The 22,608-nt window shown below is 37.2% G+C and overlaps 1 protein-coding gene and 1 pseudogene across 6 annotated transcripts in view, besides 1 other annotated feature; both read left to right on the top strand.

Annotated features, from left to right (window-relative positions):
- On the top strand, nucleotides 2,390–2,587 carry YWHAEP4 (tyrosine 3-monooxygenase/tryptophan 5-monooxygenase activation protein epsilon pseudogene 4; annotated as a pseudogene).
- Nucleotides 6,664–22,608, top strand: part of MAP9 (microtubule associated protein 9) — a 34,308-nt gene continuing 18,363 nt past the window's right edge. Inside the window, exons 1-6 of one of the 6 annotated variants that reach the window (NM_001039580.2) lie at nucleotides 6,664–6,858; nucleotides 7,715–7,853; nucleotides 8,608–8,692; nucleotides 10,173–10,493; nucleotides 14,817–15,043; nucleotides 21,488–21,581. In NM_001039580.2, coding sequence (NP_001034669.1) covers nucleotides 7,779–7,853; nucleotides 8,608–8,692; nucleotides 10,173–10,493; nucleotides 14,817–15,043; nucleotides 21,488–21,581 — 802 coding nt within the window. In that variant the 5' untranslated portion in view covers nucleotides 6,664–6,858; nucleotides 7,715–7,778. Of the gene's footprint in view, nucleotides 7,254–7,714; nucleotides 7,854–8,607; nucleotides 8,693–10,172; nucleotides 10,494–14,816; nucleotides 15,044–21,487; nucleotides 21,582–22,608 lie in introns of all 6 variants that reach the window. The other 5 variants (XM_011532254.2, XM_017008616.2, XM_011532253.2 and 2 more) reach the window with 5 other exon arrangements.
- Nucleotides 6,782–7,211: an enhancer, noted in NCBI's record as "active region_22081". NCBI's record gives its function as "activates an Ori minimal core promoter by ATAC-STARR-seq in GM12878 lymphoblastoid cells {active_cell/tissue: GM12878}" and the evidence as "EXISTENCE:reporter gene assay evidence [ECO:0000049][PMID:35858748]".

The following is a 22,608-nucleotide window of genomic DNA, read 5'->3' as shown; positions in this document are numbered from 1 at the left end:
GCTGGGGGTGTGTGGCTGGCTTGGGTCGGGGCATAAGTGAGAGCCAAGGTTTTTCAGCATGCAGCAGGGGCAGCTGACACCTGGCCTAGGGGCTGCAGAGCCCATGGGTTGCTCTTAGTTCCTGGATCCAGGGGGAATTCTGGAGCCGGGGTCTGGGGCTGCCTAGGGGTGGAGGTGGTGGGAGGCGGGGGGAGGGGCGGGAGAGGGGGCCTTGCATGGCAGGTGAAGGACAGGAAGCCGGCCAGGGGACAGTTTGCAGTGGTTGCTGCCATCCCCGCCTCTACCCCCGAACCCACCCCTACCCCCACCCTGGTGCAGGGTCCGGCCTGAGCATGTGTCCTCTGCTTTGACCTCAGCAGATCACAAGATGGAAGTCACAATTACAAGTGGAAGCACCCCGTCGGTGTGCCACTCGAGTCAGCAGTGACCTGCAGCTTCTGCTTCCTGGAGTGTGGGGTGCCCACCCAGGAGAGCATGGAAAGGCGCACACCCCTGACCTTGAGGGTGCTGGGAGATGGGGGCCAAGGTCCTGCTGCCCTGCAGGTACCCTGAAAGGTGGCCTAGGAGTCCTGCCTGAACAGCTGCAGAGAGGGAGAGGAGGAGGGAGACAGAAGTGGAGAAGAAGGAGACAGAAAGAGATGGGGAGAAGGGAGTGAGATAGAGAGAGAGGAAGAGAGATGGGGAGAGAGACAGAGGAGCCTGAGAGGAAGAGTAGGGAGAGAAATAGGAAGAGAGACTAAAAGGCAGAGAGAGACAGGGAGAGAGGTGCATGAGTAGGAGGTCGGGTCACTCGATCCCAGTTCGCAGTGAAAACCGTAGGTCACCATCGCCTAACCACACATGCAAGGAAGTCTTCTGCCTGCTGCTTGCAGTTCTTGAGAGTTCCTTCTAGAGAATAAAACCTTTGACTGCTGCCCTTCCTCAATGGATTTTGATCGTGTTTTCTGGTGAACGGTGATGTCTCGCCTATTGCCTTCCTGGGCTCAAGGATCCACCAAAAGCTGACACCTCTTCTGGGGAGGCTCTGCAGTGCCTTCATGTCACTAGGTTCCCCAGGAAGCTTGTGAACTTACATTATTATGTAAACTGAAATTATTCACCCTGCACCACCCAAAATTATCTTTCATACCTACATCCACCAAAGGGTCCCATAGCACACTTTGGGAACTGCAGACAGTAAGCCTGGAGCTCCATTGCGCACTCCATCTTTTCACCATCCGTGGGCTAACAGGCTGTGTTAGTTTGCTAGGGCTGTCTTACAGACTGGCCACAGACTAGGCACCTTCAACAACTGAATCTTACTGTCTCACATTACTGGAGGCCATGAGTCTAAGATCAAGTTGTCAGCAAGCGGGTCCCTTCTGAGGGCGGTGCAGGAAGGCTTTTTTCCAGGCCTGTCTCCTGAGGTGTGGGTGGCTGTCTTCTCCTTGTGACTCTTCATTAAGGGTGATTCTGGTGAGAGCTCAGATGAGGAGAGCTGGATAGAATGTTTGTAGAATATGGAGGGGGCTGGGTGTGGTGGCTCATGCCTGGAATCTTAGCACTTTGGGAGGCTGAGGCAGGAGGATTGCTTGAGGCCAAGAGTTCAAGACCAACCTGGCCAACATAGGGGAGACCCAGTCTCTTAAGAAAAAAAAGAATATGGAAAAGAAAGGTCATTCTGATAAGTCTCAGATGGAAATGAAGAACATGTTATTGGAAACTGGAGGAAAGGCGACATTTGTCACAAAGTGACAAAGAACTTGACTGCATTGTGTTCATGCCCAAGTGTTTTCTGGAAGGCAGAACTTATGAATAATGAGACTGAAATTTGCTAGAAGAAATATCTAAGCAAAGTATTGAAGGAGCAGCTTGATTCTCTTGAATGTGTATGGGAAAATGAAAGAAAAGAGGAATGATTTAGAGACAGAAGTTATCAAAAGGGAAGCAGAACTTAAAGATTTGGGAAATTTTTATTCTTCTCAGCCTGTCCATATTTTAACAAATAAAGTGTGGGAGAGAACACAAAGGTTGTGAATCAGGAGACATGGATCAGGACTGTACTCTTCACCAGGACAATGAAAGAGCAACCCGGAAGGTGTTTTGTAAATTGCTTGGGCTGCACTCTCATCACAGGACCATGTTGCCAGAGCATTGAGGGCAGTACAGTTTCCAAGGAAGGCCCTAGGGTGCCCTGGGGACCTTGGGGCTTGCTTCCCAGCAATCCCTGAAGTCACTGGTCCCCACATTCTGGTGTGGCACCCCTTGGTTGCTCCAAGTGTTGCTCAATGGGCCCTGGTGCAGTGGGGGATGTGATGTCACCTCTCCAGAGGGCACAGGCAGAAAACCCTTTGGCAGCATCTATGTGGCGCTAATTCTGCAGGTATGAAGATTTTGCCTTTTCCTTATAGAAACTGTGGAGGCAATGAAGAAAGTAGCAGGGGTGGATGTGTAGCTGTCAGTTGAAGAACCTCCTATCTGTTGATATAAGAATGTGATTGGAGCTAGAAGAGCCTCTTAGAGAATAATCAGCAGCATTGAACCAAAAGAAACAAACAAGGGAGGAGGAGAAAAGCTAAAACCGGTTCGGGAATATTGGCAAATGGTGAGATTGTTGTACAGTAGTCCCCCTTTATCCACAGTGTGAGTTACCTATGGTACGGTACAATAAGATATTTTGAGAGAAAAAGAGCTACATTCATATAACTTTTATTACAGTATGTTATAATTATTCTGTTATTTATCTTTTACTGAGCCTAGTTTATAAATTCAACTTTACCATGGGTATGTATGCATAGGACAAAACATAGTATATATGGGATTTGGTATTATCCATGGTTTCAGCACATGCACTGGGGGGGTCTCCAAATGGATCCCTCTTGGATAAGGAGGAACTATTGTACTTTCAGGAAAAATGATGAGTGTTTTTTTAAAAAAATGTTGAGTTTATTTGTCCCATTCCTCTTTTTATTGAAAGACTCAGCTTTTCTATCCAATGTTGTAGTTTTTAATCTTTGGGTTTTATACAACAGAAGTTATTTTAGGGAGGGGGGTAGTTGTTACATGAATATGTACTAATTTCTGCCTTTTATTTTTATAGTTTTAGAAAATGTCTCCAAGGAAAGGGAGGCTTATTTCTTCTGAGTGGCTGGCTTAAGTCACAGGCTTGTATCTGTCAGTAATTTGGCCATAGTCATTGGCATTTTAGGTCACTGCCTAGTGCACACATGATTATCTATGTAGTATATAATCATAAAATGATTATATGTTGTATATATATATGATTATATATACATATATATACACATATATAATCATATATACATATATATGTATACATATATACTACATTACATATGTAGTATATATATAATCAGTGTACATATATACTATGTACATATGTACAGTATACATATATACTATGTATACATCATATATGTATAATCAGTATACATATATACTACATTATATATGTAGTATATAAAAACATTTTATACCTTAGTAGATTTTTGCCTTTTGCTCACATTGATTAGGCTACAGAATATTTTAGAGCAAAGGCGAAGAACTTTTTCTCCTGGAAGCTGCCAAGGGTGGTGTTCAATTTTGAACACGGCACAACCAGAAAACAAATTGAATTTTTGTTTTTCTTCTGTTAACTAAAACTCTTTATTGACTACCAGAAATGATTATTCATTGCAATTTAACAAGTATTTGTGTTCCTCTTGTGTGCCACAAAATTTGCCTAGGTACTGTGAGTGTAAAGATGAAACAGATAAGATTACTATTCTTGTTGAGGCTCAGTCTAGTCATTGTTTTTTAAACAGAATAGAACATATCAGAGTGGGACACCGTAAGGGAAAGAATGATTTGATGAAGTTATTTCACATACTGTGTGTGTATATACATGTACAAAATGTTTCTTATTGTAGGTCTTGTTCAAAAAAGTTTGATAGCCATTACTCTAGTGCGGTGGTTTTCAATTGAGGTGATTTTGTCCTTCAGAGGATATTTGACAATGTCTAGAGATATTTTTGATTGTCACAGCTTGGAGGGTGCTACTGGCATCTAGTGGGGTGGAGAGTGGGATGCTGCTGACCATTCTACTATGCACAGGACAGCCCCCACAGCAAAGAATGATTCTGCTCAAACTGTCAATTTTGAGAAACTGCTGCTGTTAAGAAACTGATTCTAGTGGAAGAGACAGGCACGTAAACACATGAAAGAGAATAGGGACGGGAATTAGAGGGAAGGTGGAAGGTGAGCTTGGTAAGGAGAGGGAAAGCGGGGGAACCACAGTTACTGACTCACCAGCTCTACTGGGCACTGTCCTGAGTGGGGAAATAATTTTATCATATGTATTTGTGCAAAGTATTGTATGAAATCTTTAAAATGGCACTGGAAGGGGTTGGTATTATCCCAACCTATGAATGCACAAACTGGGGTTAGGAGTGTCTAAGTAACATACCTGAGGTCACACAGAAAGTTGCGAGCTGGGGCCGGGCATGGTGGCTCATGGCTGTAATCCCAGCACTTGGGGAGATGGAGGCAGGAGGATCGCTTGAGCCCAGTAGTGGGCAAAAAAAGTGAGATCCTGTCTCTAAAAATAAAATAAAATTGTAAGCTGGGATTGATGCACTATTACTCTGAAATACGTTGGGTCAAAGAATTTGGATGATCAATGGACAAGTTTTGTGTCCCAGAGGAATGATGAAGTGAGAAAGTTGAAAGTGCTGAAGAAAGAACTCCATAAGCTACATTGTGGGACTTGGGCTAGCTAGGAAAGGGAAGCAGGAAGCAAAGAGAGCAACTGATAAATTGGGGGAAGATGTGAAAAGCTCAAGAGTCTGGACATCTTAGATGAGATACATGCATTAAAAAAAAAAGAAAGAAAGAAAAAGTAAAAAAAAAAAAAAAGAGTCTAGATGTCTTGATGAGTTCCTAAATAGAAATAACAAGAGAAGAATAACTAAAAAAGGAAGCCATGGGCCTTTTGGAGTGGAGTATTACAGTTTAAGACTTCCAGTACGGAGCCCCACAATTAGGGGTATGGACAAGTGAAAGTCTTGGAGTATTGAGCAAAGAATTCTATTGAATGGAACATGGCCACACCATACCTTGGTGTGATCTCAGGTATTGGATAGGTTGGCTGTAGATATTCAGTGAATGTGGGAGAAGGGCCTATATATCTATTGATGACAGAAACTGAGAAATAGAACATAGAATATTGGCTTGTGAGGAGGAAGGGTTTGGAGTAATAGGAGAGCAGTCACTGAGTATGTGAGGACCTAGGAGAACTTAGAAATCTTCCTTCTACAGCAGTCCCTATTTGAAAAGCCCTCAGGGAGATAGTTTATTCAGAAAATAGTTTTGCTTAGCTAAGATAAGAATGCGATTATAGAGGAAAAAGTGAGAGAATGTTTTACAGTGGAAAGGAGGTTCCAGGAGCATGAGGTGAACCTGGAAGGGTTCAACAGTAGTGCCATGAGTTAATAGAAAATAGGGAGCATTTTCTATTCTGGGTATGTGTGTGTAGAGGTGGTGTACATTTTCAGCTTCATAAATGGATACAGATGAGTGGACATATATATATAATATATTATATAATATATATTATATATATAATATATTATATAATATATATAATATAATATATATATACTATTAGTTCTGTCCATCTAGAGAACCCTGATTAATACAGCATTGTATTTTACTAAATTTCTTATTTCTTGTTATGCACATTTAGTTTTTCAATACATTGATTTATTAAATTTCTATCTCAATGTGATTTGTTTATACAAAATTGAATTAGTGAAATATTAACATATTTTAGAGATGTGGAAAAAATACCAGGTATGAGTTTAATTACTAGTCAATGAATTCATTCAGATAATTCAACTAGGATTAAGCTTTTTAAAAATTAAAAATAGTAAAAATTCATATTATTTTAAAGACTTTCAATAAACGTTTTTGGTTTTTATTTGCTTTAAGAATTTCCTATGCGAATTAAATGATGTTGATTTTGTTTACTTTAGTAGCACATGCTCTTTTAGCCTAGTGGATCATTTTGTTTGGTTTGATTGGAATAAGATTACTCACTAAGTATACAAAGAGGGGGAGTTTTACATTCAAGTAAGATGTCAAATGGGCTTTCAGTTGTGTCCACAAGAGCTGAGGTCTCTCCAGGCCCTTTGCGGCTTAGTTGCATGAAGAGCATATCTAATATCGAATACAATTCCAGGCACTCTTCCAAGTGTTCCACTTGTATTATTTCATTCAATTTTACAGCAACCTTTCAGGTGTCTATTATTAGTACACTTTTGTTTTCCCCCAGAAGAAGAAACTGAGTCATAAAGACCTTAACTTGGGACAATCACGTGTGTAGGAAAGGGGTACCAGGATTCAAACCTGCAGTCGGAAACAGGGTTCTGCAAACTCACTACCGTACTATTCTGTCCCATCCACTGACACCGTACTTCGATTCAGAGAACTTCACGTCCTAACTGTGGCAAAACGACGAATGTGCTTTATTTGCAACACGTGCAGATAAGGACCCTTACTCTATTGGCAAGAGTAAGGCTATCTGGGTGGGAGTTGGGCGGGTCCTGTCTCCTAGGCAACAGCACATGCACACAAGCGACCAATAATGAGCCCCTCTCCAAAGACCCAGGAAGGTGATGTCACTTCCTTCGTCTGGGTGGTTGCCCCAGCGACACGTTGGGCCGAAGAGCGGTGTTGGGTACCCGAGAGACCCGGCGGTGGGGAAGTCACTTCCTCCCGAAGACGCTGTTTCCTAGCAACCGCCCTCCGCCTCTGTTATTAGCCCCTCCTCCTCGCTCGGTCCAGGACCGGCTCTGCGGGCGCCGCCAGGCCCAGACCAAGGTGAGCAGCTCCTACCCGATGCTTGGCTCTTGATTCTCAGGGTCGCGGAGAACTGGCCGCGGGCGTCCGGGGCCGGGAACAGAAAGCGGGACCTGGGGGCCATGGGGGATCCGGACAGAGACCGCGCTTGGACGTGCACGGGCCTGGCGTTCGCTGGTGCTCAGCATACGGCGCGGTGAGGAGCGGCGAGCACCCGGACGTCACCTGGCCTGGTAGGGAACGGAACCCGGGGCGCACAACGCTATGGGCGGCCCTGCCAGGCCTCTGCTCCGAGTACGGGAAACCGCGATTTTAATGCGGCTCATCGCGAAAGCTTCGTCGTTTTGTCTGGCTCTCTTTAACACTTTTGTGAGAGGAAAAATTGGCTTGCAATACATCTCGCTGGCTGTTTGCGGGTTAGCATTACGATCTTTTTCTTTGAATAGCGCTGTATGCAAATATATAGATACATTTTTTTTTTGGTGGTGGTGCTCATAATTTTTACGCCGACGATCCTTTTGATGGCCTTTTAAATAAGACGTGACTTATTTTGAAGGCAATGTTATACTTTAGAAGAGAGGTGAAAAATAAGGTGTTCTATTTTAATTGGCAGCATTTTGTCGTATTAACTTGTAATCATTTATTTGCAGACTTTTTAAGTAGTTGCAAAACTATTTTAGGATAACTTCCATTTGAATTTTTTTAAACAAGCTTGTTATGAGAATTTGCTATTTCTTTACAAGAACCTTTTTAAGTGAAGATGTAGCCCAATGTTCATATCAGATGCTTTTCTTTGACCTTTGTGGGGAGAGTAGAATCAAATGTAATAAAATAAATTCTGAAGCATGCGAAGTCTGATTTGTTTTGTATATTTCAGCTACTATCAGAAGTTGAATTCTAATAATTAGCTATTTTATAAAGGTAACGAGAAAAAATACACTATGTCTGATGAAGTTTTTAGCACCACTTTGGCATATACAAAGAGTCCAAAAGTTACCAAAAGAACTACTTTCCAGGTAAAGTATTTTTATTTGGAATCATTTCACAGTGTAAACACTGTATTAGATGGGTTGAAATTGGTGATTCTAGAACAGTCCTATATAAAGCAGGGGTAAATCTTATATTACTTTTGAGGTTTTGCACATGATCATGTTTGGGCTCCATCCAGTATTACAAACTCCCCTATATGGTTTTAAGACTACCAAAGTAGCCTCAATACTAGTTTCCTACTAAGTTAAAAGTTGAATCGCAACCTTAAATTGCCATTTTTATATAAAAACTTTTTTTTCTGTTGTAACATAATGTTTAAGTTTTTTTTTCTGTTGAGTCACTGCAATTTTGAACTCAGCCTCTAAGTTTGCAATATTGATTGCATCCATTTCTGAAATATGCCGAGACAAAAGCTCTTAAAAATACCAATTTCTTTCAAAATACCAGTTTTTAATAAATTATAATCTAAATTGAGCCCCTTCTTATTTGTTACCCTCCAGCTCTAATTATAACCTGCAATTAATTTGTTCCATAATGTGTGTCTCCTCTAGTTAAACTGCGAGCTCCATGAGGAAGGGCTCTTGTCTGTGATGCTCTGCATTGAGTATGAGGCGTAAAGTGGGTACATGGCATAAAGTGAGCTTGCAGGAAATATTTGTTAGATGAATGAAACCTAAGTTTGAAAGCAGTCGTTAATCAAGCATTGTTTGTTTAAAGAATTACTTGTGAATATGATACCTCCATGTTTGGATGGAAATTGATTTCAGTATCTCATTTCAGGATGAGCTAATAAGAGCAATTACAGCTCGCTCAGCCAGACAAAGGAGTTCTGAATACTCAGATGACTTTGACAGTGATGAGATTGGTATGTGACAGTATGGAAACGTGAACCACTTTTCTTCTTTTTGCTTCCTTAGTTTTGTATTTAGCCAGCCCCCCAACCACCCATCCCCTCAATCACGTATGTTAAAATAATACCTAAGCATTCACTAATTTTAGATTTTCAACTTTTTAATTAGTAGAAAGCCACTCTTAATTTTCAGGAAGTTGTATGATTTTCTTTTTTTATTGTTGTTTTGTTTTCTGAATGTGTATACGAAAATATAAATTAATTGATGGCAGGTTTGCAGTAAAAGGATGGCTGCCAGTGGTAAACCACATTGAAGAAGACAGGTTCATCTTTAAGATCAACCCTAGGAGGTGCTACAGCTAGTTAGTAACTAGTCCCACAGAACTAAACTTCGGTGCACATTAGAAGTGCTTTTATAAAGCTTGCTATAAATCAGATTTTTTTTGGCTGTGATAAGGGGTAAATTTAAAAACCACAGACTCTTCGTGTTTCATATATCAGTACTATTATAATTTGGTTTCTCTTAGCTATGTAAACATATTAACATTTTAGTTTCAGGTATAAGCATACAGAATTCTAAACTTGGTGTTTTTGTTTGTTTGTTTTTGTTTTTGAGATGGAGTCTCGCTCAGTTGCTCAAGCTGGAGTGCAGTGGTGCAATCTCGGCTCACTGCAACCTCCACCTCCCAGGTTCAAGTGATTCTCCTCCTTCAGCCTCCTGAGTAGCTGGGACTACAGGTGCCCGCCACCATGCCCGGCTAATTTTTGTATTTTTAGTAGAGATGGGGTTTCACCACATCGGCCAGGCTGGTCTCGAACTCCTGACCTTGTGATCCGCCCGCCTCAGCCTCCCAAAGTGCTGGGATTATAGGTGTGAGCCACCGCACCCGGCCTGGTGTTTTATTCTTTAAAATTTGGTGAATAATTGTAATTGATTTCTGTAAAACCAGTAATAACCACAGTTAAATCACTGCTGTATAGTTAACTTAGCATTTCTTATGATTCTTAGTAAATCTAATATTCTGGTGTGGATGGAATTGTAGTTCCAAAATTTTTATGGAAAAAATATAATTAGTAATTACTAATTAAATTCTTCCATTTACAAATGTTCTTGATTTTACATGAAGAAGTAATTTGCAAATAAAAGTTTTACAGTCCATAATCTAATTTAAATGCTACATGACTGATTGTTAGGGACCTTTGGATGGCTTTTTCCAGAGCAAACAGTGTTTGGTTGTTTGGTACCCTACAGACAACACAATAAATACATTTTGAATAAATTAATGAAATTGGAATTTTTATTTCATAAATGTTAATGAGACGTGCCTGAGTTAGCTGTGTTTTTAGAGCTGCAAGTCTATTTATAAAATACATTTGTGCCTATTCATTGTTAGAATTTTGTTTGTAGCTTTTAAGGTAAACTTTGATTAAGTTAACGTAACCTTGACAATTTTTAAAAATACTGTTGAAAACATTTTTCTTTTCCATTTTTCAGTTTCTTTAGGTGATTTTTCTGACACTTCAGCAGATGAAAATTCAGTTAATAAAAAAATGAATGACTTTCATATATCAGATGATGAAGAAAAGAATCCTTCAAAACTATTGTTTTTGAAAACCAATAAATCAAACGGTAACATAACCAAAGATGAGCCAGTGTGTGCCATCAAAAATGAAGAGGAAATGGCACCTGATGGGTGTGAAGACATTGTTGTAAAATCTTTCTCTGAATCTCAAAATAAGGATGAGGAATTTGAAAAAGACAAAATAAAAATGAAACCTAAACCCAGAATTCTTTCAATTAAAAGCACATCTTCAGGTAATTTGTTAGGATTACTGTAATTGCATTTCTTGGAAGTTTATTTTAAGATAATCAGTCCCAAAATTTTTATATGGTAGCTAGTATATATTTAAGAAAAAAAGACAGACTTAACTTCCATTTTACAGACCTGTTGTATTTTGTCTAACTTCAATTTTACAGACCTGTTGTATTTTGTCTAACTTCAATTTTACAGACCTGTTGTATTTTGTCTTGCATCTAGGCTGTTGCCTGATAGAAAGCCAAAGCACAAAGCCAAAGCACCTTTAGTCATCCATAGCATCCATAGCTGTGGATCTCCAGACACCTAGACCTGTGAGCTTCAGTTTTGTTTGTAGGTGTGGAACTGGAATGGAATGCTGTCTAATCCCTCTCACACTCCAAAGATTAGAGTTACAGCAATATTGAGACTAATCCTTCTAACAGTCTTTGCCATACCAACATTGTGCCAGAAAATTTTCTTGACATTTGTATATTTGAAGGATGAGTTATGTTATTGCTGCTGTTGTTTGTTGAAGCATCCAGGCACTCCTTAAGAGAATCTCCATTTGATCTCTGTATTGCCTATGAAAATCTACTAAGATTCAGTTTTCCAAAGGAAAGTTCCTGGTGTGATCTGGGATTACAGTTAGTTCTGCCCACAATTTTACTGAATTTTAAGCATAAAGGAACAAAGATAGAATGAAACGGAGACCAAGTCCTGTCACATACCCTGGGCCACCATTCATGAACTTGTATATGCAAGGTTAAGGATTTTTTGTTTTTCATTCTTTGTATTTTATAAAGGAATTATTAGTTGATGTTAACCTTCATAAAAATCTCCTTGCATATCATCAGTAAATACAGTGCTGGTAAATATTTCATACTTTGCATATTAGATACCAGTGGTAACGTCAGACAAAACTTTATTTCAGGCATGTATTGGGGAACTGCTCCTTTCTTCCTGACCCCACAATCTCATTAACTTTGAAATGAGCAAAGGATGTAAGCAGAGCAAAGAACACTAGAATAATATCCAGGACACTGGGGGAAAGGCCTCTGTATATTATATATGACTTCAGCAAATAAGTTAAGCTTCAGTATCCTCATGATGAGGAAGCTAAAAATAACCCTCTTTCTATTCCTGCAAAATTGTGAGAGTTTATTGAAGTGCATCTCATAAACTATAAAAAACTACAAAAATGCAAACAGATGCATAATGAAACAATTAACTTGTTAAAATGTACCTTCTAAGTATAGTGAGTGAAATCAATGCTGGAGAGAAGAGGAACATAATTGAACTTCGTTATTAAGAAAATGCGAGCATATATAGCAACTAAAAATTTGTCTGAGACAGGTGGATGTATATAATTAGAAGTTTATGGTAGATAATCAGGAAAGCAATAATCCACCTATTTCATACCTTAAAAAAAAAAAAAACCTGTGGTGGGTTACAATGAATAAGAAAATACTGTATTTTAACCACAAGGTGGCATCAGGATCCTAAATGCTCTACTTATATATGCAATGTTATATTCAGTACGTGTAATATAAAAATAATTACCTAAATAGGTAATTGTATACATTGATTACCAAAAAAAGCGCTTTTCTTAAAGTATAGGCATTTTTTTTTCTTTTTGGGAACTTGACAGTACTTCTGGAAGTGGAATTTTTGTAGAAAATATATTAAAGTTGTCATTCTCAGGTTCTTCAGGTTGAAAAGTAAAAATTGAGGCTAGTGTTCCTAAGATAATATCTGGCATATATAATAAGTATTTAAATGAATAAATTAATATATGAATGATTTATCTTTGAAAGAGGGAATATGGTTCATGAGTTTATCCTCTAAATTCTTTGACTTTTTTTTTTTCTGTACAGGTTTGGAACTCAATGTTTTTAATGTGGTGAGATATTGCTGAGTAGCAAGTAATGCTTTATGAAACTATTAGAGCTTGAAGGTTTTCTCTGTCCTTGCTTGTCTTTTGTAAAAAGTATAATAACCAGACTTTATAGTCACTACTGAAGTGACAGTTGCTCTATAAAGTGAAAGTATTTTTCACAGGATATGTTTTTATTTTAATACTAACATGACTGAAATCATGAACTTTGGAGTCAGGATGCTTCTCCTTTAATCTGAGATCTGCAGCCTGCTAGAGTTTGTGACTTTGGGCATGAGACCTCTTTGTTCTCATTTTATTCATCTTTAAAAACGGGATAATAGTTGCCTGCCTCTAGGAGTTTGAGGCAATTAAATGAGTTCACATATTTGAAGTGCTTAGAATAGTACTGGCATAAATTTAGCACTCTATAAATGTTCTGATTATTCATTTTATTATTTAGCGTTTGTTTATAAACATGCTCAGCAGGTATAAAGTATCAGTCATGCGGGATGCGTAAGTTCTAGAGATCTGCTGTACATTGTGCCTATAGTTAACAGTACTGTCTTTTGCACTGAATGTATTAAGAAGGTAGATCTCATGTTTGTTCTTACCACAATAATAAAAAAAATTGACTCAACACCTTCTTTCAGGCATTATATAATATTCTGCTTAAACTGAGGCTCAAAAGACATGCAAGCATTTGTCAGGAGGAGAAGCAGGAAGTGGATATTCTAGGCAGGGGGATCAGCTTAGGTAAAGGTATGGTAGCAGGAGGGATTGGAGGGATTGTGGTATGTGTGCATGACAACTGTTAGCCCAGCATTTCAGAAACACAGATGACAAAATGGCTGTAGATAAGGCAGTGAAGGACAAAACCATAAAATCCGTTTTATGTTGTTTAAAGGCAGTTAAGCTTTTATTCTGTAGGATTGGATCATGGGGAGCCATTGAATAATTTTGTAGAAAGGAGTGATGTGATCTGATTTGGATTTTGTAAATATCATGGAAGCAGTGATCTAGGAAAGAGTGGATAAGGACCCGACAGCAGGGATGTAGAAAGTGGAATAAATGAGATATTTGGCAATTAGAATTGATAGGATATATTGATACTCTGGATTTAGGGGATAATAGAGGGAGGAATCTAGAGCCCTTGGATTTGGGGTTGAACATTTGGCTGGAGTTTAGGATGTAGCTAAAATTGTCAGCTACTTATAATAATACCAATTTGGTATGGTTGTGGAATCTTCTGGCAGAATCCATAAGCCCATTTTTAGGTAAATGGGAGGAAGATGTTAATTAGACCAATTTTGAAGTTGAGAAAAATGCATTTGTAGAACAATAGAAACATAAATATGTATAGCAGGTAAAATGCAGGCAAAAAATATATACATGGAAAGTCTTCCCATTGTTTCGAATACTGGATGCAAATCAGCATTTGATTCTTGATTTAAACTTAGAAGTAATGGAAAGAGTGAAATTTTAATAAATGCTAAAGAAGTTTTATGGACTCAGAACAATTAACTCATAAAAGATTCCTTCCTCTAATGAGAGTTAGCACTCCTATCCCTTGAGTGCCAACATCATCATCTTTGTCCTTATAATAGCACTTATAATCTTAGTAATCTAGTCTTGTAATTTTGTTTAGAAAAATCAACCTGTAAAGTACCTGGACAGGTCCATTGCCGCTTTGTTGATTATGAGGTTTAGTAACGTGTACAGGGCTTGGTACTCAAAGGCTTGATGGATGAGCCTCCTCATTTTATAGTGGTAGAAACTGGGGCAAGATTTTGTTTTGTTTTTTTATTTTTAACATTTTTTTTTTAATATTATAAGAGTTCACAATGTTGAAGAGTTAACTTCTTGTGACTGGTTACTTTCAGGATGACAACTGTTTCTTTACTTTGTTTTTTTTTTGTTGTTGTTGTTGTTTGGTTTTTTTTTTTTTTTTAGATGGATTTTTGCTCTTATTACCCAGGCTGGAGTGCAGTGGTGTGATCTCGATCTCGGCTCACTGCAACCTCAGACTCCTGGGTTCAAGCAATCCTCCTGCCTCAGTCTCCTGAGTAGCTGGGATTACAGGCACGCGCTACTAAGCCCGGCTAATTTTTTTGTATTTTTAGTAGAGACAGGGTTTCACCGTGTTAGCCAGGCTGGTCTCGAACTCCTGACCTCATGATCTGCCCACCTCGGCCTCCCAACGTGCTGGGATTACAGGCGTGAGTCACCGCTCCCAACATGTCGGGATCACAGGCGTGAGCCACCGCGTCCGGCCTGATTATTAACCATCATTTATTTGTGCCTTACTAGAGCTCTGTATAGAGAAGAGTTGTGGGCTTCATCTGGACTCTTCAGGACAGAGAACAAAGGGGCATAGGCACAGGAGGGAAGTATGGTAGCACCCAGAGAGATAGATAAAGCCATGGTCATTTTTTTATACACACACTTTAAGCATTTTATTTTTCAGCAGAAAACAACAGCCTTGACACAGATGATCACTTTAAACCATCACCTCGGCCAAGGAGTATGTTGAAAAAGAAAAGTCACATGGAGGAGAAGGATGGACTAGAAGATAAAGAAACTGCCCTCAGTGAAGAATTGGAGTTACATTCTGCACCTTCTTCCCTTCCAACGCCGAATGGCATACAATTAGAAGCTGAGAAAAAAGCATTCTCTGAAAACCTTGATCCTGAGGTTAGCACTACCACTAAACTGTTGAATTGTGTTCTTGAATTTATGCTTTTTTATCTGATTATGAAAAAGAGAAGGAGAGAATGAATTTGTGTGCGTGTGTGTGTGTTTTACATACTTTCTTCTGCAACTGATAAGGAAATAATTTTTAAAAATACACTGTATTCCACCGAGTCTAAAACTGCATCAATTGTAAGACGTAGCATTATTTTACATACCACTAAGGAAGAAGGAAATGCATCCAATTAAACTATAACACACCAGTGATTGTAGAGTTTATCCAGTTTTAGAGAAAGTAAAATGTCAAAAAGTGTTGCTTTTCTGAATCTATATAATAGTGTTTATCTTTAATAATTTTTTAAATTTATGTATCTTTGAATTATGTAATTTATGGCTAAGAACAATATAGTCAGTGTCATTTTATTTATTTGATTTTATTCACTCAACAAATGTGTGTTGAATGTTCATGGCACTCTTCTGTGTTCTTTGGGTTATGTTCCAATAGCATTAAATGTGGCCTTTCAGGTTTCCATCAGGGAATTTACTATGCATTGTTATTAAGGGAGAACACTTCGTTTTTCTCTTTGTATTTCACTATGAGAAGCAAACTGTCCCTTCTGAACATTTCAGAAGGGAAAAGTACAGGAAGAACATTTCTTCCCCATAATCTGCTTGGGCAGATTAGGGAACTGCATGCCACCTGGCCAAGCTTCTTTCTTTTTCTCATCGCTTGTCTGCAGTGTTGGTGCTTAAGGATCTGCTCTCTGGGAGGTGAGGCAGAAGGTGCTGAGAGGAGCTCTTTTGTGCAATGACTAAATGGGGGAATCCCCCTAATTCAGACTGGAAGTATTAGGAAGCACAATAGGCTACCAATTCAAATCTTGTTCTGCAGTTGAGCTTTACCAGTAAAGCTGACAATTTGATATACGCCTAACTGACACCACCATGCTGTTTCTTAATTTGTTCTGAAAACCAGAAGAAGAAACCCAAGCAAATACTTTATATTTAAGAAAATTATCTGATCCATTGAATATTGTGCTAGTTTCTTGTAGCTGCTGTAACAAATTGCCACAAACTGGTTAACTTAAAACAACAGAAATGTATTCTCTTAGTTCTGGAGGTCAGAAGTCCAAGATCAAGGTGTTTGCAGGGCCATTTTCCTCTGAAGGCATCACGGAAGAATCCTTCCTTGCCTCTTCCAGCTTCTTTCTAGTGGTTGCCAGCAGTCCATGGCATTCCTTGGCTTGTAGCTGGCTTGTAGCTGCATCATTCCCTTCTCTGCCTTCATCCCATGTGGCCTTCTTCCCTGTGTTTTCTCTGCATGTCTGTGTCTCTTCTTTCTCTTAAAAAAAGACACCAGGCATTGGATTTAGGGCCCACCCTAATTGAGTGTGTCCTCATCTTATCTATTTAAAGCTGTAAACACCTTATTTCCTAAGAAAGTCGTATTTTGAGGTTCTGGATGAACATGAATTTTGGGGCATTAATGTTCGTATGTTAAACCTAGCATTCCCGGGATAAACTCTGGTTAGTCATGGTGTGATATTTTATTGTGGGATGTGATTTGTTAAAATTGTGTTAAGGTTTGCATCTATATTTATGAAGTCTATTGGTCTGTAATTTTTTTCTTATAATGTTACCATCAGGCTTGGGTATCAAATGAGTTGGGGAGTGTCTTTTCTTCATTTTATAAAAGTTTGGTATCATTATTTTCTTAAATGAGAGGATTCACCAGTACAATTATCTGGGCCTGGAATTTTCTGTGTGGAGACATCTTTGGCATTACATTTGATTTTTTAAATAGGTATTTCAGTACTCACATTTTCTGTTTTGCCAGTTTGGTAATTGTGTCTATCAAGAAGTTTGTCCATTTCATCTGATATGTTGAGTTTATAAACAGAGTTGTTCACGATAGTCCCTCATTCTTTTGATGACTAGGATTATCATGACATTTCATTTTTATTTCTAACATATATAATTTGTGTTTTGTGTCTTTCGTGCTAAATCTTGATAGGCATTGCTTAGTTTTATTAAACGTTTTTAAGAACCACTTCGGCTTTGTCATATGTTGGTGCAAAAGTAATTGCAGTTTTGGCCATTACTTTCAATGACAAAAACCGCAATCATTTTGCACCAACCTAATAATTTTCTCTATTGTTTGTTTAATTGATTTTCAGTATTATTTCAGTATTATTCAGTATTATTTCTTTTACTTTCTTTTTTTTTTTTTGAGACAGAGTCTCGTTCTATCGCCCAGGCTGGAGTGCAGTGGTGCAATCCCAGCTCACTGCAAGCTCTGCCTCCCAGGTTCACTCCATTCTCCTGCTTCAGCCTCCCGAGTAGCTGGGACTACAGGCACCCACCACCATGCCTGGCTAATTTTTGTATTTTTAGTAGAGACGGGGTTTCACCGCGTTAGCCAGGATGGTCTCGATCTCCTGACATCGTGATCCACCCACCTCGGCCTCCCAAGGTGTTGGGATTACAGGCGTGAGCCACGGCGCCTGGCCTCTTTTACTTTCTTTTGGTTTAATTTGCTTATCTTTAGATTTGAAAATTTTCTCATTCATTTTTAAGATTTTCGTGATTTCTGCTAAACCTGTTGAAAGGTGTAAACTTTCTTCTTTGTACTGCTTTAGTGGCCCCGATTTTTTGATGCCTTTTATTTTTATTATCATTTCTTTAAATATATATTTTAACTTCCCTTGTGATCTCCTGTTTTAAAAATTTATTTTTTTAGTTGAAAAATAATAATTGTACATGGGGTACATAGTGATTTTTCGATACATATAATATATAGTGATCATTGTGATCTCTTTTTTGACCAGTTGGTTATTTTATGGTGATTTATTTTATTTTCAAATACTTGTTTTTTCTCTAGATATACTTTTGATGTTAATTATAAGTTAATTTTGTTGTAGTCTAGAGAATGTATCTTACATGATTTCAAATTTTTAAAAATTATTATTATTATTTCTAAATGGCCCAGCTTTAGTGTATCTTGTGAAAGTCTCATTTGCATCTGCAAAGTAGATGTGTTCTCCAGGTGTTGAATATAATGTTGTATAATTTAAGTTTGGTCAACATGGTTGGTAATATCATTCAGATCTTCTTTATCCTTACTGATTTTTCATCCAATTTGTTTACCCGTTACCAACTTAGGGGTATTAAAATATCCAGTTATGTTTGTGGGTTTGTTTATACTTCTCTTTAGTTCTGTCAGTATTTTATAACTTTGTTATCAGGCACATACACATTTATTATTATTATGTTTTGAGCATTATGAAACGTCTCTACCTCTGGTAATATTCCTTTCCTTATCTTATAGATTGTTTTGTGTAATACTTCAGCTTTCTTATGACAAGTGTTTCCATGGTATATGCTTTCTATCTTTTTTCTTTCAAACTAATTCTGTCTTTTCATGTAAGTGAATCTCTTACAATAAGAGTTTGGTGTCACTTTTTTATTAAGTCTGACAATCTATGCCTTTTAATGTAGTGTTTAGTCCATTTATGAATGTTTTGTCCATTTAATGTAAATACTGCTATGATTGGATTTAGGAGCAATTTGTTGCTCTTTATTTTCTATTTATCTGTTTTTTAAAATTATTGTTTTTATTGTTGTTTCTCTGTTACTCCTTTCTTGCCTTTTTTTGAGGAGATAATCATGAATCTTTTAGTTTTTTATTATTATTGACCTTTTATCTATATTTGTTTGCATTGTATTTCTCAGAGTTGATCAGTGGATTACAGAATATATCTGAAAATTATCACAATCTATTTAGAATTGATATTGTATTGTTTCACATTTGATCTAGAAACCTTGGAATAATATAGTTCCATATACTCCCTCATCCATTGTGCTATTGTCATATATTATATCTACATATCCTATAATCCCCACAATAGAGTTATAACTTTTTCTTAAAGAGCCCTTTCAGTTTTTTGTATTAGACTTTTAAAAAATTAAAGAAGGCTAGAATAAATATATATTATATATCTACTGTATTATATATTGTATATATTATAGATAACATTCTATTGCTAAATATAGATAATATATATTTGTAGACAATATCTATATATAGGTAATATATATTCTATTCTTATATATTATATAGATATATAACATCTATATAATCTATTTATAGATATTACATATCTATAAATACATATACAATTTCTAGGGATCTTCATTTCTTCCTGTAGATTCAGATTACCATTTTGTGTCCTGTCAGTCTTACAAACTTATTTTACATTTCTTGTAATACAGGTTTACTAGTGATGGATTTTTCTCAGTCTTTGCTTTTCTAAAAGTATTTGTCTCATCTTTGTTTTCAAATGGTGGTTGATGTGATTGTATTCTTCTTGTCTAACAGTTGCCTTCTTCTACCTCCAGCTCTTTATAGGTTTCCATTTTTATTGGCCTCTCTTGTAATCATTCATTTCATTGTCCTCTCTATATAATGTGTTGATTTTGTCTGAATGCTGTCAGGAATTTTACTCAAGATTGTGGTTTTTATCTTTTGATTACAGCAATTTGACTGCATGGTGCCTGGGTCTAGCTTTCTTTATGTTTATTCTGCTTGACGTTTGTTGAGCTTTCCAAACCTATAAGCTGATACTGTCTGTGAAATGGGAAGATTGTTATTTCCCACCCTATTTTTCATCCTCTCCTTTTGGTACTGTAGTTACACATGCATTGAAATTTGTGCTATATCTCACTGATCTCTGAGATTCTGTTTATATTTCTTAAATCTTTTTTCCTCTTTGTTTTTAAGATTGAATAACTTGTATTACTTAGTCTTCACGTTTACAGATTGTGGTCCGGAGAATGTATCTTTTATGATTTCAAATTGTATTAAATTATTTTGTTTTGTTTTAATGGCCCAGCAAAAGGGTATGTCGTGAGAGTTCCATTTGCAGTTGCAAAGTATGTGTGTTTTCCAGGTGAATTTTTTATTTCACTTATTGTGGTGTTCAACTTCAGATTTTCTATTGGTATTTTTTCTGTTTTTTAATATAAAATCCCCCATCTTTTCAGCCATCATGCATATATTTTCCCCAAAGTGCTTGAACATATTTATATTAGCTATTTTAAAGTCCTTGTCTGCTAACTCTAAAACGTGAGTCATCTCTGGGTTGGTTCCTATTGACCATTCTCTGTTTTTTTATTTTGTTTTTTAAATAAGTGTCACCATTTTCTGTTTCTTTAGTGACTTTTGATTGAATACCGGGTGTTCTGAATGATATTTTGTAGAGATTCTGTATTCTTTTATGTCCCTTCAAACATATTTTCTAGCAAGTGGATATCATGGCTGGACACAAATTCCCAATCCTGTTTCTCCTGCAGTGGATATCAGCTGAAATTTCTGCTTAATTCTTTTCAGTTTCTAGCTTCTATGCTTTTACAGGATCCTCTGAGGTCTCCCTTATGCCACAAATAGAGGTGGTAAAGGTTTTTGGTGAATTTCATATGCAGATTTTGTGGTCACTGTCCTCTGCTATTTTCCACATACTTATTGGCTGATCTGATGGTCCTAGACTCAGTCCCCTGTTCCCTCAAGTCATTCCACCAAGGCTGTAGCCTTCTATTACTTGAGCTGCATAGACTGGAGAATGCCTTCTGGCAAAAAGCTACTAATTTGCAGATCTCCTCAGGTGAAGCTTTATCTTTCAGGGTAGACTCCAGTGTCTCAGCACTTCTTCCATTTTCTCAAATGTTTTCTCTCCATTGCTTTTGACATATAATTTCCTTTGCACCCATAAAATACTGCGGAGAAAGAAAATTAAAGTATTTGTACAACAAAGTTGAACTTCCTACATTGTAATATCATTACCTTTAGGCTAGATGATTCTATGAAGAAATGTTTACCTTAGATAGACAAATATAATTATTTCATATCAGATAGAATTTTCAGAATTTTGAGGAAAACTCAAGTGCATGCAATCTATGTGCTTTTCCTATCTAAAATATTTGGAAGTAGCGGCTTACTTGATTTTATTAAATGCTTTCATTTGGATAACTAGTAATATTTGCTTGGAACTAAAGTATTTTACCTGTCTTCTTTATGCTTTCCTTCAAAGGATAATTGTAGGAAGAGCTATCAAAATCAAATCTTGGCCTTAAATATTTATAAGAAATGTGATTATTAAGTAATAGGAGTTTTGAAAATTGGTAAAAAATAAATAGAGAGGTGGTGGTAGTTAAAGAACTTGAATAACTCTTTCAGTGACCCCTTTTAATGACCAAGACATCAAGGCTTGAAAGTAAAGCATGCTTACCTCCATTGGCTTGTCACACTTTGCGTTTCAGCAACAAATGCCTAAATAATGCAGATTTCAGAGTTATGCACTATTTCAATTTGTAGTTTTAATAATGCTATTGTTCCCATAAATGTTAATTATTAAACTTATGTGGCAAATGTATTTTTTTTTGCGAAAACAGGATTCATGCTTAACAAGTCTAGCATCATCATCACTTAAACAAATTCTTGGAGATTCTTTTTCACCAGGATCTGAGGGAAACGCATCTGGAAAAGGTGGTTATATCTAATAATTATATCTTATATGTGAACTCTGTACTACTTAGACTCCTGTTTGTAAGAGAAATAATACTTTGTATAGTTATAAGAGAAATATATGTTTTTATGTGTTTGAGTTTTAATCCTGACTATGTAGTTAACTAACTGTGATTTTGGATGCAGAACTTAATCTCTCAGTGCCTCAATTTCCCTAAGTTATATTATTTGTCTCATAAGGTTATTGTGAAAATTAAGTGATATAGTGCATTTTAGCCATTAGCCTAGTTAATAGCCCAAGTGGAGTGAGCACTTAAGGTAAACTACTGTTATGTATGTGTTGCTGTGATATTCTGCAGGACAACATAATAGCTAGGTGGAATTTTAAAGTGAGACTAAGCTAGATTCCAATACAGGCACAATTACATAAGCAAAGTAACTAACCTTTCTGACCCTGTATGTTGATCTTTAAAATGGGTAAAATAAGAGTAATTTGCCTTATAGGGTGTTGTAAGAATTAAACATGTAAAGCATTTACAGCAATACCATAGTAAGCACTTGGTGTGATATGTGAATTGTTAACATAATTTCTTTTCTTAGTGATACGTAGCTTAATGAAACCTAAAAGACATAGCTATTTCTAGGTCTGAGATGTGTAATGAACATTTTAGTGCTTACTATGTAGTATCATTTTTGTCATTTTACAGATGAGAAAAGCTGAAGTGCAGTGACTTAGGGAAACATACCCAAGGTCAGTGATGGAACCATAGTTAAATCTTGAGTTCCAAAGTTCTTGTTCTTTTCACTGAACAGATTAACAGCTCCAAAGAATCCAATAGTGAATTGAGTGATTTTAAGCCCATGTTACCTCAAAACAAATTCCAAAAAAATGGTCATAATGAAACCAACAGAATTAAGACTTTTCACAGTAAAGATTCAGGTTTAGCTGCAAGGTGGACGTTGGTAGAACTGAAAGTTGGTGATCCCATTCCAAAATGTGGTAAAATCAGAATAGTAGAAGCAATTCTATAAATGCAAAACTGAATCT

This window comes from Homo sapiens, chromosome 4, assembly GCF_000001405.40.
Source record: "Homo sapiens chromosome 4, GRCh38.p14 Primary Assembly".
NCBI classification, from domain to species: Eukaryota; Metazoa; Chordata; class Mammalia; order Primates; family Hominidae; genus Homo; species Homo sapiens.
This window is presented reverse-complemented; position numbering and strand designations above follow the sequence as displayed.